The 20,016-nt window shown below is 43.6% G+C and overlaps 2 annotated features.

The window, feature by feature from the left end:
- Positions 10,026-10,527: an enhancer, noted in NCBI's record as "H3K4me1 hESC enhancer chr7:32945163-32945664 (GRCh37/hg19 assembly coordinates)". NCBI's record gives its function as "activates a minimal SCP1, AML or CMV promoter by ChIP-STARR-seq in primed H9 embryonic stem cells {active_cell/tissue: H9 hESC(primed)}" and the evidence as "EXISTENCE:reporter gene assay evidence [ECO:0000049][PMID:30033119]".
- Positions 10,528-11,027: an enhancer, noted in NCBI's record as "H3K4me1 hESC enhancer chr7:32945665-32946164 (GRCh37/hg19 assembly coordinates)". NCBI's record gives its function as "activates a minimal SCP1, AML or CMV promoter by ChIP-STARR-seq in primed H9 embryonic stem cells {active_cell/tissue: H9 hESC(primed)}" and the evidence as "EXISTENCE:reporter gene assay evidence [ECO:0000049][PMID:30033119]".

The following is a 20,016-nucleotide window of genomic DNA, read 5'->3' on the forward strand; positions in this document are numbered from 1 at the left end:
CAATATAGTTTAAGTAGTATGAGCAGAAAGGAAAAGGGGGTGATTTTTCTTCTCCCTTCTCTCTTCTAATCAGGTAGGAAAAATATGTCTCAGAATCCCGAACAGAGTACCCCTGATGTCTTCTTGGCCAGGATAATGAGATTGTTGTTATGGTCTCCAGTCATTAGTTGGGAGAGAGAGAGGAAAGAGTTCCCCTTTCTCTGAGCACATTCCTTTTTTTTTTTCCTTCAATCTGGACAACATCTTCGTTCTCTCAGCAAGGAAGAAGTAGATGAGACCACCAACCATGTTTCCCACAAAGACAATCAAACCATGAGACCCACATAGGAAATGGAAGTGTATAAGCACCAAACTGAGTTTTATCCTCAATCTGCCATTCAGTAGCTGTATGATTCTGGCAAGTTATTTAACCTATCTGAACCTGGTCATATTATGCTGAATGAATGAGGACCGGGTGCAGGTAGCTCATGCCTGTAACCCCAGCACTTTGGGAGGCAGAGGTCAGCAGATCACTTGAGGTCAGGAGTTCGAGACCAGCCTGGCCAACATGGTGAAATGCCATCTCTACTAAAAATACAAAAAAAATTAGGTGGGCGTGGTGGCAGGTGCCTGTAAGCCCACCTACTTGGGAGGCTGAGGCAGGAGAATCACTTGAATCTGGGAGGTGGAGGTTGTAGTGAGCAGAGATCGTGCTACTGCACTCCAGCCTGGGCAACAGAGGGAGACTCCATCTCAAAAAAAAAAAAAAAAAAGAAGGAATGAGGATTCAAGACAGTGTAACAAAGTGCGTAGCACATAGTAAGCATTTATTAAAAACAGTTTTTAATATCATATTCTTTTTCACATGTTAAACATAGAATTACCATATTATCCAATAATTCCATTTCTAGGTATGTTGACCTAAAAAAATAGAGACAAATCTCTAAATTTAAAACATTTTATGTAGGAAGCAAGGATTGCAATTCAGGGCATATGTACAGACCAAGTGGTTTTTGCTACGTCCAAAGAAGAAAGAGAAGGCTGGAGGTTTTATAAAAAGGAGAAATATTACGTATTCTTTTGAAAGAAAGTGCATTGGCACTAGTAAAGTTTTGAGGAGCTGGCAAGTTCTGAGTAGTGAGAGACAGCGGTGGGTAAAATTAGTCGCAGAATTGCAGCAGGCTGTTTTAGTAGCTATTAGATAAAACTGGTTTCAGGCAGTTTCAGCAGCCAGCTTACAGAGAATTACATTCTTAGAGCAATGTTTTGTGCCCTAAGGGCTTTTTTTCCCTGGTCTCTCAACTCTGTTTTAATTGAATATGACAAGAATGACCCAATTCGTATGATCAATTTTCACAGGTAGATACCCAAAAGAATTGAAAGCAGCAATTTGAGTAGACATTTGTACACCAATGTTCATAGAAGCATTATTCACAATAGCCAAAAGGTAGAAGCAAATGTCTGTCAGTGGATGAATGGATAAGCAAAATGTATATAAATTGGAACATTACTCCAATGGAATGGAATATTAGCCTTTTAAAAGGAGAAAATTATGATATGCTATAACCTGAACCGTGAATACATTATTCTGAGTCAAATAAGTGGAACACAAAAAGACAAACATTGTATAAGGTACACATTGTATAAGGCACTTATAAGGTACGCAGAGTAATCAAATTCACAGCCACAAAAAAGTAGAATAGTGCTTGCCAGGGAATGGTGGGAGAGGAGAATGAGGAGATGTTGTTTAACAGATGCAGAAAAATTTTGTGTGTGTGTGTGTGTGTGACACAGTTTCACTCCTGTTGCCCAGGCTGGAGTGCAATGGTGCAATCTTGGCTCACCGCAACCTCTGCCTCTCGGGTTCAAGCGATCCTCCTGCCTCATTCTCCCGAGTAGCTGGGATTACAGGCATGCACCACCACGCCCGGCTAATTTTGTGTTTTTAGTAGAGATGGAGTTTCTCCATGTTGGTCAGGCTGGTCTCAAACTCCTGACCTCAGGTGATCCGCCTGTCTTGGCCTTCCAAAGTGCTGGGATTACAGGCATGAAGCACCGCACCTGGCCTGCAGAAAACATTCTTATCAGCAGAGACGGGGAGTCCAGGCTAAGTATATTCTATAAAAACAGACCTTGTTAAAGTACCTCTTATCTTCCTTCAGTCTCCCTATCTGTTTTAGTTACTTTTCCAAAATTGTCTTTGTTCAGCCTAATATATGACCACTTAGATTTTGCCACTTCTTTGGGTCTTCATTTTCCTGTGGAGGCTCCCATGTGCCTGTAAAAATATATAGGCTTTTCTCCTGTTAAATCTATCTTATGTCAATTTAATTCTCAGTCTCAGCCAGAGACCCTAAGAGAGTAGAGGTAAAGTTTTGCCTCTACTATATATGTGTGTGTGTATATATATCTATATCTATCTATATATATATAGCTTGTTTTTTTAGAGATGGGGTTTTGCTATGCTGCCCAGGCTGGAGTACAGTGGCTATTCGCAGGCACAATGATAACACACCACAGCCTTGAACTCCTAGTCTTAAATGATCCTCCTGCCTCAATCTCCCAAGTAGCTGGGACTACAAGTGCAGGTGCCACTCCACCTGGCTCAAAAACAAACAAACAAAAATTAACAAATGAAATTCTGATACATGTTAAAACACTGATGAACCGTGAAACACTACGCTAAGTGAAATAAGCCAGGCACACAAGGACAAATATTATGATTACATTTATATGTATGTGGTACCTAGAATAGTCAAATTTAGAGAGACAGAAAGTAGAATAGAGGTTACCGGGGGTTTAACAGGTACCGAGTTTCTGTTTGGGATGATGAAAAAGTTCTGGAAAAGGATAGTGGTGATGGCTATACAACATTGTAGTAAACATACCGAATGTCACTGAATTGTACACTTAAAATGATTAAAATGATAAATTTTATGTATATTGAAGGGGTTAAATAGTTGACTAAGTTAAAGACAGTTGAAAAACAGCAGGTGCAAAAGATCACTTTGAACTTTGTGCTGTTTCTTTTATTTGTTTATTTATTTATTTATTTTGAGACGGAGCCTTTCTCTGTCGCCCAAGCTGGAGTGCAATAGCACGATCTCGGCTCACTGCAACCTCCACTTCCCAGGTTCAAGTGCTTCTCCTGCCTCAGCTTCCCAAGTAGCTGGGATGACAAGTGCCCGCCACCATGTCTGGCTAATGTTCGTATTTTTAGTAGAGACAGGGTTTCACCATATTGGCCAGGCTGGTCTCAAACTCCTGACCTTGTGATCTACCTGCCTCAGCCTCCCTATGTGCTGGGATTACAGGAGTGAGCCACCGCGCCCAGCCTGTGCTAGTTCTTAAAAGCAGAAGATGAAATTCCCTTGTGAAAGATACTCTCCGTGTTCTAGAAGGAAAGGCAATAACCTTATCTTCAACAATGAGATGCTGAAACTGAGAGAATACAATGTTGAAACTGAGAGAATACTGTACAGACTTTGCTAGAATAACTCTTACTTTTTTTTTTTGAGGCAGGGTCTCACTCTGTTGCCCAGGCTGGGGTGCAGTGGCATCATCTTGGCTCACTGCCCCCTTGACTTCTCAGGCTCAAGCCATCCTCCTACCTCAGCCTCCCGAGTAGCTGAGACTACAGGCACACCACCACACCTGGCTAATTTTTTGTATTTTTTGTGGAGACGGGGTTTCGCCACATTGCCCAGGCTGATCTCAAACTCCTGAGCTCAAGCAATCCACTGGCCTCAGCCTCCCAAAATGCTGGAATTACAGGCATAAGCTATCATGCCTGACCAAGAATAACTTATCTTTTAGCTCCCCCATGTAATTTCGTCACATTTTCACAGTTTACTATTTACATTCTTTGTCTAATCCAGAATGGAAGTAACGTACTCTAACTGCTTCTTGGGGTCTTCATTTCTTTATAAGGGTTCCTGCGTCATATAAACCTTGTAAAGTCACTTTGAATGCTCTTCTCCTGTTAATCTATCTTATGTCAATTTAATTCTCAGGCCTAGCCAGGACCCTAAGAGGGTGAAGGTGGAGTTTTCCTGCCCCTGTAATATCTTAGCAAAAAAAAAAAAAGTTTAAAACAAAACAAAACAGCACTGGACAGAAGCCTGGCTTTGCCAATTACTAGACCCGTGACCTGAGGCAAGTTACCTGACTTACCCAAACCTCAGTTTTCAGGTCTATAGAATGAAAATAATAATAGTACCTACTTCCTGGGTCTTTTACGAAGTTAAAATGAGGTAACTTGGCAAAGTATTACATTGTTTAAGGCTTAATTCTTCCTAGCTTTAAGGGAAAATACTCATTCTAAAAATCATGAATGTCCTTAGTACGTTATCTAGCAAAATTGTTACTGTGACAATGGCAGAGATCAAATGTACTATTTTTGATACTTGGCCACATATTTTGTCTTTTCAAGGGGAAAACCCTCTATTTCAGGAAAATGTTTTAACAGGCATATTTATTCTTAAGATGAGGGCCTACAGGCTGGATGAGACATGCTCTGCATGAGAAATGAACAGGAATTTCTGAGGTTCTAATAAAAAAAGTTAGCTGAGCAGGTAGAGAAAGGGTAGAGAGCAGTGTGGCTGAATTCTAAGAGAAAATGTCTTTCTGGTGGAGACGATGGAAGCAGTTTTTAGAAGAGGATTTCTAAGATTCATTTTTAAATTGTGTGCTGGCCAGGCGTGGAGGTTCAAGCCTGTAATCCCAGCACTTTGGGAGGCTGAAGTGGGCGGATCACTTGAGGTCAGGAGTTTGAAACTAGCCTAGCCAACATGGGGAAACTCTGTCTCTACTTAAAATACAAAAATTAGCCGGGCGTGGTGGTAGGTGCCCTAAATCTCAGCTACTCAGAGGCTCAGACACGAGAATCGCTTGAACCCGGGAGACAGAGGTTGCGGTGAGTCAGGATCTCGCCACTGCACTCCCGCCTGTGTAACATAGTGAGACTCTGCCTCAAAAAATAAAATAAAATAAATTGTTTGCTGTACTATTCTGTGATATAAATACACTCCAATACTGGCCTTCCTGGCCACGATTCAACTGCTAGGTGCACAACTTTGATTCTGTGTTCAAGAGGGTAAAGAGAAGGGACAAAGTCTATCAGTGCAGAGCATGAGAAGGGAAAACCCTTATTGAAGCATGTAAGGGAGACCTAGGACTCAGCCAGAAACAGGAACTTGAAATCAGGGATCTAAAAGGAAACATGTCCCAGGTATCCAAACAGATATTTACAAGGGATGATGGGCCTCCCAATGTGTATAGAATGGGGGAAAGAGCTAAATTTTATTTAAATCTCAAAGTATAGAATGACCCCAGCTGATACCTGAGTTGGGTTGTGTAAATGTTTTTACATTCCAAGCTAAATGCCATACTTCTCATAAAGCCCATGATCTGACAACCCATGGGTCATTAATCGGTATACAGGAAAGACCTTTGGAACAAGACCTAGGAGAAGTGGATCTTAGTTCAACTCTTAATTAGCTGTGTAATAATGGTGAAATATTGATTGTTTATTCTCTTCTGATCACATGTTCCCAATTTAGAAAGTGGGATGATCACTGAGAAGCCAGCTTTGGGGTCTATGCTGCTTCTAGAACACCTCCTTTCAAATTTCTAAAGCTAGTTGTGGTAGTTAGCTTTAAAAATGGCCCTCGGTAGGCCGGGCATGGTGGCTCATGCCTGTAATCCCAGCACTTTGGGAGGCTGAGGCAGGTGGATCACTTGAGGTCAGGAGTTCAAGACCAGCCTGGCCAACATGGTGAAATCCCGCCTCTACTAAAAATACTAAAAATACAAAAATTAGCTGGGTGTGGTGGTGGGAGCCTGCAATCCCAGCTACTTGGGAGGCTGAGACAGAAGAATCACTTGAACCCGGGAGGTGGGGTTGCAGTGAACTGAGAGTTGCATTGCACTCTAGCCTGGGCGACAGGAGACTCTGTCTCAAAAAAAAAGAATGCCCCCCAGTGTATTTTCAGCCTTGTGTAATCCTCTCCACATTGTCCAGTTTGGTATGTGTGACCAATAGAACAGGGCAGACGTGATGGTGTATCACTTTTGATGTTAGGTTATAAAGACTGTAGCTTCCATCCTGGGAGCATTCTCTCTCTCTCTCTCTCTCTCTCTCCCCCCGCACCTCTCTAGCTCTCGCTCTCATTCTCACTCTGTCTTTCTCTCTGGGGTGTTTTATACCCACCCATCCCCATTCCCTCTCTTTCATCACTTGTACATGGGGAAGCTAGCCCCCATGTCATGAGGACACTCACACAGTCTTTGGAGAGGTGCAAGTGACGAGATCTCTGGTCAACAGCCAAGGGTGAACCGAGGCCAACCAACAACTTGAGCGAGTTTGGAAGCTGATTCTCCGGCTGCAGTCAAGCCTTGGGATGACTACCACCTTGTGACAGACCCTGCACGAGAAGCACCCAGGTGATCCACTCCTCAATTCCTAACCCTTAGACAATGTTAGATAATAAATGTCTGTTTTTGTTTGTTTTGAGATAGGGTCTCACTTTGTCACCCAGGCTGGGGTGCAGTGACATGATCATAGCTCACTGCAGCCTTGAACTCCTGGGCTCAAACAGAGTTGAGCCCACCTCAGCTTCCTGAGTAGCTGGGACTATAGGCTCATGCCGCCTGCTAAATTTTGGGATAATCTGCCACATAATGATAGATAACTGGCTCACATCTGTAATCCCAGCACTTTGGGAGACCGAGGCGGGCAGATCACTTGAGGCCAGGAGTTTGAGACCAGCCTCGCCAACATGGTGAAACCTCATCTCTACTAAAATACAAAAATTAGACCAGCTTGGTAGTGTGCTCCTGTGGTCCCCACTACTTGGGAGGCTGAGGTGGGAGGATGGCTTGAGCCTGGAAGGCAGAGGTTGCAGTGAGCCAAGATCACCCCACTGCACTCCAGCCTGGGCAACAGAGCAAGACTATGTCTCAAAAAAAATTAAAACTTAAAAAATAATAGATAACTAATATATTAATGAAATTCAAAGATACTTCACATTTGTTTGAACTTATTAGTAGTTGGCAGTAATCTGCAAACAATAATCTATAAATCTAACCATTCAGGCAACAACTATTTACTGAGTTCCTATGTCTTCCTAACACAGGCTATTTTAATTACAGCTGTGATGTGATTATTTTTCTGGCCTTGAGCATAGAATTGTAGAGATCTGATTGAAATCCTGGTGTTCATAGTTAGAGAGAATTTGGAAAAGCTCCTTAACATCTATGTGCCTGTTTCCTCAACTATAAAATGGTGATAATACAATATTATGATGAATAATCAAGTTCTGAACCTTAGTCTTACCTTAAAACATAATTTGAAAGTCAAGGCATAAATAGATTTTTAAAACTTAAAGTATCTTGCCCAGACTATAAACAAGGCTATTTGTTATTTTGCTAATTATTTTTCTTTCCTGCAGCCATTGGAAGATCATGGTCCTTAGATGAAATAAATAAATATAGCAATTTAAACAGGGTCAGCTATGTTTTTAATATACTTGCTTCCTCCCCTTGCCATTTATTGCTAATTTTTCAGTCACGTGTGAAATCCCTGATAAGGATCTGCACGTTACAAATATCCACAAATTTCATATTTTCTCTCCTAATTATTAGAAGTTCAGATACAGGCTGGGTGTGGTGGCTCACACCTGTAATCCCAACACTTTGGGAGGCTGAGGCGGGCAGATCACGAGGTCAGGAGATCGAGACCATCCTGGCTAACACGGTGAAACCCCATCTCTACTAAAAATACAAAAAAAAATTAGCCAGGCGTGGTGGCGGGTGCCTGTATTCCCAGCTACTCGGGAGGCTGAGGCAGGAGAATGGTGTGAAACTGGGAGGTGGAGCTTGCAATGAGCCGAGATCCGGCCACTGCACTCCAGCCTGGGCAACAGAGCGAGACTCTGTCTCAAAAAAAAAGTTCAGATACAATTATTATAATAGAAACTTTATTCTAGCAAAATATGAATACACACATTTTTCAGTGACAGAAAAGTAGTCACAATAATATGAAAAAATGATATATAAATTCAGTGAAAACTAGAGAAATAAAAATCTGAAACTGTGAGTTATTTCTCAAGTAAATGAAGAGAATATCAAGAATCTTTCCCAGCACTTTTTTTTTTTTTTGACAGAGTCTCACTCCATCGCCCAGGCTGGAGTGCAGTGCCAGTGATCTCAGCTCACTGCAGCCTATGCCTCCCAAGTTCAAGAGATTTCTCCTGCCTCAGCCTTCCAAGCTGGGACCACAGGCACACGCCACCATGCCCGGCTAATTTTTTGTATTTTTAGTAGAGATGGAGGGGGTTCTTACCATGTTGCCCAGGCTGGTCTCAAACTCCTGAGTAAAGGCAATCCACCCACCTCGGCCTCCCAAAGTGCTAGGATTACAGGTATGAACCACCACATCCGGCCAGCACTTCTGATCTATAAATACAACTGTCCTCAACCAACAGTTTACTTCATTTATTGTAATACATTCATAATTCAAAGATGTGATTGCCACTGAAAAGTATTTTTCAGGGGAGGGGTTGGGAAGGGGAAAAAATTATTTTTCAAAGGAAGTTATTGGCTGGGTGAGGTGGCTGACACCTGTAATCTCAGCACTTTGGGAGGCCAAGGCAGGTGGACTGCCTGAGTTTGAGACCAGCCTGGGCAACATGGTGAAGCACCATCTCTACAAAAGACACAAAAAATTAGCCAGGCATAGTGTTGTGTGCCTGCAGTCCCAGCTACTCGGGAGGCTGGTGTGGGAGGATCATGGAGCCCAGGAGGTCAAGGCTGCAGTGAGTTGTGATTGTGCCACTGCACTCCAGCCTGGGTAACAGAGCGAGACTTAATCTCGAAAAAAAAAAAAAGTTATTTACTGTGAAGAGAGGCAGAATATGCCACACCAAAATATGCCACTTTAGTATAAGGATTATTTTGAGCTACTTGAAAAACAGCAGATGCAAGAAGGGCACCCTGATCTCTTTTCTTCCCGAAAACAGGAAATAAGAACTCCCACATGAAAGATGCCCTCCTTGTACGAGGAGAAAAGAAACATTCTTCAATGGGACATCATAGCTGAGAGAATTCAGTGGAAATGACCTTGTTAAAATAATTATTGTTTTGGCAGGTGCCTGTAACCCCAGCTACTCGAGAAGCTGAGGCAGGAGAATTGCTTCAACCTGGGAGTCGGAGGTTGCAGTGAGCCAAGATCGCGCCACTGCACTCCAGCCTGGGTGACAGAGCAAGACTCCATCTCGGAAAAAAAAAAAAAAAAAAACAAATATATATATATATATATATATATGTGTGTGTGTGTGTGTGTGTGTGTGTGTGTGTGTGTGTATATGTATATATATGTGTGTGTATATATATGTGTATATATGTATGTATATATGTGTATATATGTATGTATATATGTATGTGTATATATGTATGTATATATGTATGTGTATATATGTATGTATATATGTATGTGTATATATATGTATGTGTATATATATGTATGTATATATATATTGTAGCATCCACACATAATTTAGTCACTTTTCTACAACTGCCTCTCGTTATTCAACTTAATATAAAAGCATTTAGATTTCGCCACTTCTCTGGGTGCTCATTTCCTTATGAGGGCTCTAAATGATTCAGGGCAGGTGAGCCCCAAAATTGGGGCTTAACCCAGGAAGTTTCTTGGCTTCACCCAGCAAAGAATTCAAAAGTGAGCTGGCGGTGTTAGACAGCAACATTTATTGAAGCGGCGGTGCACAGCCGCAGAAGCACTGCTCCTTGTGGAGTGGGGCTATCCAGCAGGCTGTGTGCCCAGAGTAGCAGCTCAAAGGCAGGTCTGTAGTCATGTTCACATCTGCTTGTAATTATATGCAAATTAAGGGGTGAATTATGCGCAAGTTTCTAGGAAAAGTAATGCAGACGTTTCTAGGAAAACAACCCCGGTCGTAGGGTCGTTACCAGGAAAGGGGTGGCAACTTCTGGGTGTTGCCATGGCAATGGTAAACTCACATGGCACATTAGTGGGCGTGACTTATGGAAAGTAGTTTCCTCAATCTGGTCCCCTCTTTGAGCCTCGCCTTTGGAATCCCACCTCCTACCTCACCGTGTCATTTAAAACATATAAATTTGTATGCTTTTCTCTTTTTTTATTTATGGCAATTTATCAGGCTCAGCTAAAAACCCTCAGGGTAGAGGTAAACTTTTGCATCCCCTTTTCTGAAATAGAAAAACTGGCATTCGTATCAGATAGGTTCATTCTATCTGCGAGATGGTAATTTTTTTTTTTTTTTTTTTTTTTTTTTTTTTGAGGCGGAGTCTCGCTCTGTCGCCTAGGCTGGAGTGCAGTGGCGCGATCTTGACGCGCTGCAAGCTCCGCCTCCCGGGCTCACGCCATTCTCCTGCCTCAGCCTCCGGAGTAGCTGGTACTACAGGCGCCCGCCACCCCACCCGAAGAATTTTTTGTATTCTTAGCGGAGACGGGGTTTCACCGTGTTAGCCAGGATGGTCTCGATCTCCTGACCTCGTGATCCACCCGCCTCGGCCTCCCAAAGTGCTGGGATATATATTACCCGGGCGTGGTGGCGGGCGCCTGCAGTCCCAGCTACTCCAGAGGCTGAGGCAGGAGAATGGTGTGAACCCGGGAGATGGAGGTTGCAGTGAGCCGAGATCGCGCCACTGCACTCCAGCCTGGGCGACAGAAGGAGACTCCGTCTCAAAAAAAAAAAAAAAAAAAAAAAAGAATCTTGGATCTGATTTTGGGCTGGATGTTGTGCCTCATGCCTGTAATTGGGAGGCTGAGCTGGGCAGATGACTTGAGCCCACGAGTTGAAGACCAGCCTGGGCAACATGGTGAAACCTTATCTCTACAAAAAAACACAAAAGTTAGCTGGGTGTGGTGGTGCATGCCTGTGGTCCCAGCTACTCAGGAGGCTGAGGTGGGAGGATCACTTGAGCCCAGGGAGGTCGGGGCTGCGGTTACACCACTGCACTCCAGCCTGAGTGACACAGCGAGACTCTGTCTCAAAAAAAAAAAAAAAAAGAATCTTGGATCTGATGTTGATACACACGAAAAGGGTGAAAGCAAATGTTCCCCAAGACAGTACAGAGATGTAGAATAATTCTTAGACCTTAGGTTACTGTTAAAAGTTCCACCATGTATGGGTGGATCTTTCATGTGAAACTTTGAAAACTAATATGAAAGCCACTCATATAATGCAGTTCTATTGCTGAACATGAAATTCTATTAAAATTGAGATTTTTATGTCCTGAAGCTCTGGTTCTGATTGCTCACTCCGAACAAGTTTCCTTTAGTACACCTATTGGATATATTGCTTTACCTGGTTGAACATCTACATTAAAAAAATGTTTTACAGGCCAGGAGTGGTGGCTCACGCCTGTAATCCCAGCACTTTGGGAGGCCAAAGCCGGCGGATCACCTCAGGTCGAGAGTTTGAGACCAGCCTGATGAACATGGAGAAACCCTGTTTCTACTAAAATTACAAAAAAATTAGCTGGACTGGTGGCACATGCCTGTAATCCCAGCTACTGGGGAGGCTGAGGCAGGAGAATCACTTGAACCTGTGAGGTGGAGGTTGTGGTGAGCCGAGATCGTGCCATCGCTCTCTAGACTGGGAAACAAGAGCGAAACTCCGTCTCAAAAAAAAAAAAAAAAAACTGGAAGTTTAACAGGCGAAAGAAAAAGCTCTCTGCACAGAGAGGGGTCCCGGAGAAAATGGGTTGCTACTTCTGCAATGAAATGCAGAAGGTGTTTTTGTTTGTTTGTTTTTTGAGATGGAGTCTTGCCCTGTTGCTCAGGCTGGAGTGCAATGGTGCAATCTCAGCTCACTGCAACCTCTGCCTCCCGGATTCAAATGATTCTCCTGCCTCAGCCTCCCCAGTAGCTGGGATTACAGGTGCCTGCCACCACGCCCAGCTATTTTTTGTATTTTCAGTAGAGACGGGGTTTCATCATGTTGACCAGGCCGGTTTCCAACTCCTGACCTCGTGATACACCCGCCTCGGCCTCCCAGAGTGTTGGGATTACAGGTGTGAGCCACCGTGCCCGGCTGAAATGCAGAAGGTTCTATAGATGAGCTTGAGGAGGTGGTGTCTGATTTACATAGGGCATGAAAGATTGATCTGACCAGGTGTGTTATTTGCATAGCACACAAAGAAGCTGGCTGCCCCACCCTAATCTTTTATTATGCAGATGGATTTTCTACCTGGCTGGCACCATGTTGCCTGTTCCTTTACTGCACACATGGTGACAAAGAAAAGGGAAGATGGAGCCTCCATGTTGAACATGCCTGGGCCTCAATTAGCCCTTTTCTATTGGCACACCTGTGCAAGTGTCCAGCTTGCTTATCATGGATTACATGGGATTTTGTAAATTATCCCAGTGACTTCACTATTACAATGTCCCAGTTTAGAGGTGAGTACTGGAAGCTTAGCTCATCCAGTCAGAGAGCAAGTGGCACGAAAGAGTCTTGGTGTTGAGTATCCCTGCCACCCTCCAAGCCCTTGTGCTGGGCTGTTAAACAGCAGTCCCTTGACTCAGAGGCCGTTTCTGCCCTGCAGTGATCATAAAGACTAACTAAATTCAGGCAAAATGTCAAGATAAGGCCTTTAGCTTCATTATAAAATGGAAACTAAAGATACATTGATAGTAATTCTCTGTATAACTTATCTTGCATCTATTACATGAGATATTTCAGAAAATGTTTTGATTTCCGTTATTTCCTAGGAAACAAATTGCTGAGTTCCACCTGAAGGAAGACTTTACTAATGCCAATGTCATGTTAGGAAGATCTTTCTTCATTTCAACTAACAAAGCTCTGGTACACCAGTGAACAAGTTAAATAATGGGATATATAAAACCTTTTCAACTAGAAGTTTGTTTGTTTTTGAGACGAAGTCTCACTCTTTCACCCAAGCTGGAGTGCAGTGGTGTGATCTCAGCTCACTGCAACCTCCACCTCCCGGGTTCAAGCAATTCTCCTGCCTCAGCCTCCTGAGTAGCTGGGACTACAGGGGTGCACCACCACACCCAGCTAATTTTTGTATTTTTAGTAGAGACAGGGTTTTACTATGTTGGCCAGGCTGGTCTCGACCTCCTGACCTCGTGATCTGCCTGCCTTGGCCTCCCAAAGTGCTGGGATTACAGGTGTGAGTCACTGCGCCCGGCCTCAACTAGAAGTTTTAAAATAGTAAATGGAATTGCATGTCTGTGTGATTCTTAAGCCATTTTACCTTCTCGCCCAAAGTGACTCTATCACTGATACCAAATCAATACCCATCACGCATGTTGCCATATGTACTTCTGCCTCACCTCCAGGGAGGCTTAGCTAAGGGGAAATGATGGGGTCAAATCAAGCCGAGGGATGAACTGCAGACAGATGGGAACTGCCCTGGGGATGGGGTCTATGTCCTATTCATTTTTACAAATAAAGACCTGACACGTAACACTGATAATAACACTGACAGATGTGGGCAGCAGTGATTTGGAGTATCATATGTTCTTCCCTTTCAACCACTGTACACTCTAGAAACAAAGAAATGTTTGTTTCGTAAACACAACTTCTTTATACTCAGAACCTAGGACTTAAGTCAATTGACACAATCATCTTCCAATAAATACTAGAGGTTAAGTTGGTGACTAGGTGCCAAAAAGGTGTAGTGTGGTTGAGGGGTATACCAAGGTTATCTGAAAGAACATGCTATTGTTGGATTCATGGCGTTGTATATGTGGGAGAGGACAGAGGTGCCTCCAAGAACTCCCTGGGTGGTAGACTGAAAAGGATGGTGGTGCACATGGATGGGTCCCCTGCATGTCACCTCTAAATTAAGCTGTGATGAAGACGTCCCTGCTACGCTATAACTCACTGTCCTAACCGAGCACCTTAAAATAGGGTTTGAGGAGATGGTGAAAAGTGATAACAGCGTTGCCAGATGACATCCCAAAGGCAGGCAGAAGATAAGAGCTTTTCCAAAGCTGCTCTCCTGAGAAGGCCTCACTTTTTGCCTAAGTAGTACCTACCTCAGTACTTGGTTTAGAGACTCCAGGAAACCCTCTCTAACCCAAGGCTAGATTAGGTGACCCTGCTATGATCCTATAGCACCTGTTATTACACTTTGATAACCTATTTCAGGACATGACTCTGGAGACTCACGGCCTCAATTCTGTCCTCAACCAGACTCCATCTGTTCCTTAGGGCCGTGGTTATTGTAGCCCCTGTGGCATCCCCATGGAATAGTTAGTGTGAAGCCTGGTGCAGAGTATACACCCAGGTACTTGCGGAATGAATCATGTAGTCTTAACCTTAGAGGACTCATCTGGCCTTGTCCCTGTTTCCACCAGCATTCCACACCAAACAGAACACGATGTACAGAGGCTGAGATTAGGAATGAGTTGGCCAGAATCACAGAAGGTTGGAGTAGGAAAACCATAGTGAGGTTCTTGTGAAGGCTTCCTGATTATAGGTGACCCAACATCCTTGCTTCTGTTGTAGGATCTGGAAAGGCATTCCACTTTCTATTAAAACCATCCAATTCCTACTTCCTTAGATTACATGGCAAGATGAAAGGGAGTGGATTTTCCTTAATGTGTTGGTGTGAAGACATTGAATCTGATTGCCTTTTTAACACTTGTACAATAGCAGTACAAGTAGTGTGGAAAAAACTGACTCTGTTAGTAGTACTTAGTAGTTACTTCAATGGACTGGGGCTGTCTTTACAGTAGGAAGACATCAGGACTCTAGAAGGTTGGAAAAAATTGACAGTAGGTGGATAAGAAGCACAAAAATAGAATGGGGCCAATCAGTGGATACTTCTGCTTTGTAGTTCTGCCCATAGTTGGACCTTTGTCCTAGAGGCTAGATGAAAAGTCTGGTTATGTTTGGAAGCTGTTGGACTCCTGTGGCAGGTTGCATGTGTGGGGACAAGACTCTGAGACGGAGATTGTGGGAAAATTCACATTGGTGTTCTTGGGAATAACATCTCAGAGGGCAAAGGGAATGTGATTGGGCAGAGGGAGAAGTTGGGCTCTGAGACAATCACAACAAAGGCCTCAGCCATTCCCACCTAGGGCTTTCTTGCCAGTAACAGGGACTACAGGAATGTGCCAACAGAGCTGGCCAATTTTTTTATTTATTGTAGAGATGGGCTCTTGCTATACTGCCCAGCCTGGTGTCAAAACTTGTGGCCTCAAATAGTTGACTATTTTAGATTCATCTTGTAAGTGGTATCATGGGGTATTTGGCCTTTCGTGTCTGGCTTATCTCACTTTGTATAATGTCCTTTGGGTTCATCCATGTTGTCATAAATGGCTAGATTTGCTTCTATTTTAAGGTAAAGGATATTCCATTATACATGGATAGACCACATTTTCTTTCTCCATTCACTCATCATGGATGTGTAGTTTGCTTGCATGTCAGTGCTACTGTGAATAAAGCTGCACTGAACCTGAGTACAAATCTCTTCAAGATTGATTTCAATTCCTTCTGATATATACCCAGAAGTGGGATTGCTGGATCATATGGTAATTCTAGTTTTAATTTGTTGAGAAACTTCTATACTGTTTTCTACAGTGCTCACACCACTTTACTTTCCCATCAACAGTGTCTAAGGGCTCTTTCCTCACGTCCTAACCAACATTTGTTATCTTTTGGGTTTTCTTCTTTTTTCTTTTTTTTTGAGACCTAGTCTCGCTCTGTCGCCCAGGCTGGAATGCAGTGGTGCCATCTCGGCTCACTGCAAGCTCCGCCTCCTGGGTTCACACCATTCTCCTGCCTCAGCCTCCTGAGTAGCTGGGACTACAGGTGCCCGCCACCACGCCTGGCTAATTTTATGTATTTTTAGTAGAGACAGGGTTTCATGGTGTCAGCCAGGATGGTCTGGATCTTCTGACCTCGTGATCCGCCTGCCTCAGCCTCCCAAAGTGCCAGGATTACAGGCGTGAGCCACCGTGCCCGGCCTGGGTTTTTTTTTTAAACAGTCATTCTAACAGGTATGAGGTGATATTTCCTTATTATTTTGATTTGCATTTGCCTAATGATTACTGCTGTTGAGCACCTCTGCATATACCTGCTGGTCATTCTTCTTTGGAATCAATGTCTATTCAGTTTTTTGCTTTTTTTTTTTTTTTTTGAGACAGAGTCTCACTCTGTCACCCGGGCTGGAGTGCAGTGGCACAATCTCAGCTCACTGCAACCTCTGCCTCCTGGGTTCAAGCAATTCTTCCGCCTCAGCCTCCTAAGCATCTGGGACTACAAGGCGCACACCACCATACCCGGCTAATTTTTGTACTCTTAGTAGAGATAGGGTTTCACTATAATGATCAGGCTGATCTCAAAGTCCTAACCTCAGGTGATCCACCCACCTCGGCCTCCCAAAGTGCTGGGATTACAGGTGTGAGGCACCGCATCCGGCTCTTTGCCTATTTTTTAAATTTTATTTTTTGAGACAGGGTCTTGGTCTGTTGCCTCAGCTGGAGTGCAGTGGTGCAATCATGTCTCTCACTGCAGCCTCTAACTCCTGGCCCTTTGCCTATTGTTATAATAAACAGGTCATCTGGTTGTTTGCTATTGAGTTGTAGGAGTTTATTATATTTTGTAGATATTAACCCATGATTAGATTTATGGTTTGCAAACATTTTCTCCCTTTCCATGTATTGCCTTTTTGTTTTGTTGATGTTTCCTTTGCTGTGCAGAAGCTTTTTAGCTTGATGCAATCCCACTTGTCTATTTGTGCTTTTGTTACCTGTGCCTTCAATGTCATATCCAAGAAGCCACTGCCAAGGCCAATGTAGTCTATTCCCTGTTTTCTCCTACGAGTTTTACAGTTTCAGATTTTAGTTTAAGTCCTTAAACCATTTTGAGCAGATTTTTGTGTATAGTGTAAGATAAGGGACCAATTTTTTTTTGCAGGTGCATATTCAAATACAATTTTAGTTGCTACCACTGGAGGATGTACTAGTAGCATCAAGTGGTTACAAGCCAGGGATGCCACACAATACCCTACAATGCACAGAATCGAACCCTACCACTTAGAATTATTCAGTTCCTAAAATAAATGAGTCCGAGGTTGACAAAACGGCTGTAAAGGAGAGAAAAGTGCTAGATAGAGACATGGGATCAAGGGAGGATTTTATTTTTTTCAGAGACAGGGTCTCACTCTGTTGCCCAGGCTGGAGTGCAGCAGTGCCCTCATAGCCCACTGTAACCTCAAACTTCTGGGCTCAAATGGTCCTCCTGCCTTGGCCTACAAAAGTGCTGGGATTACAGGCATGAGCCACTGTGCGTGGCCTCCGGATTTTTTTTTTTCTTTTAAAGGGAGACTTGAGCTTGTTTAAATGCTGCTGGATAGGGAAATGGGCCACTTTATATACTGTAAGAGAATGGATAAATTGGTAGACTCTTTTGGAGGGTAATTTGGTAGAATCTGTCAAACTTAAAATATGTAATTCCATTATTAGGTAACTATTCTATTGAAATACTTGCATACATACATTAAGATATTTACTCAAGGCAAGGTGCGGTGGCTCACGCCTGTAATCCCAGCACTTTGGGAGGCCAAGGTGGGCGGATCACGAGGTCAGGAGATCGAGACCATCCTGGCTAACAGAGTGAAACTCCGTCTCTACTAGAAATACAAAAAATTAGCCAGGTGTGGTGGCGGGCGCCTATAGTCCCAGCTACTTGGGAGGCTGAGGCAGGAGAATGGCGTGAACCCGGGAGGTGGAGCTTGCAGTGAGCCGAGATCGTGCCACTGCCCTCCAGCCTGAGTGACACAGCGAGACTCTGTCTCAAAAAAAAAAAAAAAAAAAAAAAAACCCCAAAGATATTTACTCAAAAATTTTTATTTTCAGTCTTCTTTGTAGGAATGAGAAATGGGAAAGAATTGCATTCTGATAAATAGATTAATGGTTAAACAAATCATGGCACATTCAAACCAAGGAATTTTGTAGCCATTTGAAGCTTGTAGTGAGCAGTAAAATTGCCAACATACGGTGAGTGAAATGAAGTCACAGAACAGTATTACTAGTGTCTATCAGTTATGTAAAGCTAACCAAAAACCGTGCATTTACATGTGTGTGTTTGCTAATGCATTTTGATCAGGATCTGGAGCACTGTATCAAAGCATCATAAGTAGACTCCCTTTTCACTTTTTGTTCTCCAATGGCTCAGAATTGTGAACTCTTTACGGGCATGTATTTTACAGTTTTAAAACAATTGTTTTTTGTTTTTTTTTTTTGGTGGGGTTTGGGGAGCAGGGTCTCACTCTGTTGCCCAGGCTGGAGTGCAGTGGCATAATTTCTGCTCACTGCAACCTCCGCCTCCCAGGTTCAAGTGATTCTCCTGCCTCAGCCTCCCGAGTAGCTGGGATTACAGGTGTGTATCACCATGCCCAGCTAATTTTTGTATTTTTGATAGACATGGGGTTTCACCATGTTGGCCAGGCTGGTCTCAAACTCTTGACCTCAAGTGATCCACCTACCTCGACCTCCCAGTGTTGAGATTACAGGCATGAGCCAAAACAATTTTTAAATACTGGGGCAAGATCACAATAGAAAGGAAGAGTTTGAAGACGTGAGTGACATGGGATAAAGGAGGAGGAAGTTCCCTGAGGATTAGATGATGGTGACAGCAGTAGCAGCAGGAGCAGGTAACATTCATTTAGAGTTGAGATGTGCCACACCCTGCTCTAAATGCTTTATGGATATCAAGTCCCCTTATTCTCACTAGAAGTCTGGTAGACATGATTAGTCAAGGACACGGAGGCACAGAGAGGTGGAGCAACTCCACAGCTAGCAAAGCTGGGATTCAAAGCCAGGCAGTCTGGATGCAGGGCCAGTGCTCCAGCCACTGCCCCCTACTGCTGGCTGTTGGTGGGATCCAGAGCATAGGTGATGGACTGGCCTGAGAGGAGGAGGGAAAGCTCATTAAACCTCTGGATCAGTTTGTTGCTGCATTAACACTTTCTCACAAATGTAAAAGCTCAAAACCACCACCACTGATTACCTCACAGTGGTGTAGGTCAGAAGCCTGAGCAGGCTCAACTGGGTTCTCGACCTTGCATCTCACAAACCCCAACCGAAGATGTCAGCAGAGGTGGGCTTCCATCTGGAGGCTCTGGGTAAGAATATGCATCCAGAACCATTGAGGGTGGCAGAATGCGGATCTTTTCAGCTGTAGGACTGAGAGCTCCATTTCCTTGCTGGCTGTTAGTCAGGAACCTTTGATGAGAGTTTGCTGCATCCCTCACCATGTGGCCCCTTCAACTCTAAAACCAGTAATGATGCGTGGAATCTTTCACAGGCTTGGACTCTCTGACCTCCTCTTTGGTTAACAGCCAGGGACAAATCGAGTTCCAGAGGGTTCTCATGATTTGGTTAGGAACACCCAGGTGGTCTCCCTTTCCTTGTACTGGTAACACAATCTAGTCACAGGAGTAAAGTGCATCCTATTAACAGTCTGAAGATTAGTGGGAGAAATCATGATGCCATTTTAGCCTGGGTAATTTATAAAGAAAAGACACCTGCCTGGCTCAAGGTTCTGCAGACAGTACGAGAAGTGTGGTGCTGGAATATCTTTCCGGTGAGGCCTCAAGAAGTTTACAGTCACGGTGGAAGGCAATGAGGAGCCAGCATATCACATGGTGACAGCAACAGCCAGAGCAAAAGAGGGAGGGAGAGGTGCCACTCACACTTAAACAACCAGATCTGGTGTGAACTGACTCATCACCAAGGGGATGGCACTAACCCATTCATGAGGGATCTGCCCCCATCATCCAGACACCTCCCACCAGGCCTCATCTCCAACACTGGGGATTACATTTCATCATGAGATTTGGAGCGGACAAACATCCAAACCATATCAGTAGGATGTCTGACATTCATCATACGATGTCTGAGTGAAGGGAGGTTTAAGGGCTTATTTTGTCTCCCTGGATAGTAATGGAAAATGTATATCTGAAAGAGATGTCTGAAAAAGAAAGTTTAAGTGGGTGGCTAGC

Source organism: Homo sapiens, chromosome 7, assembly GCF_000001405.40.
Source record: "Homo sapiens chromosome 7, GRCh38.p14 Primary Assembly".
Lineage (NCBI taxonomy): Eukaryota > Metazoa > Chordata > Mammalia > Primates > Hominidae > Homo > Homo sapiens.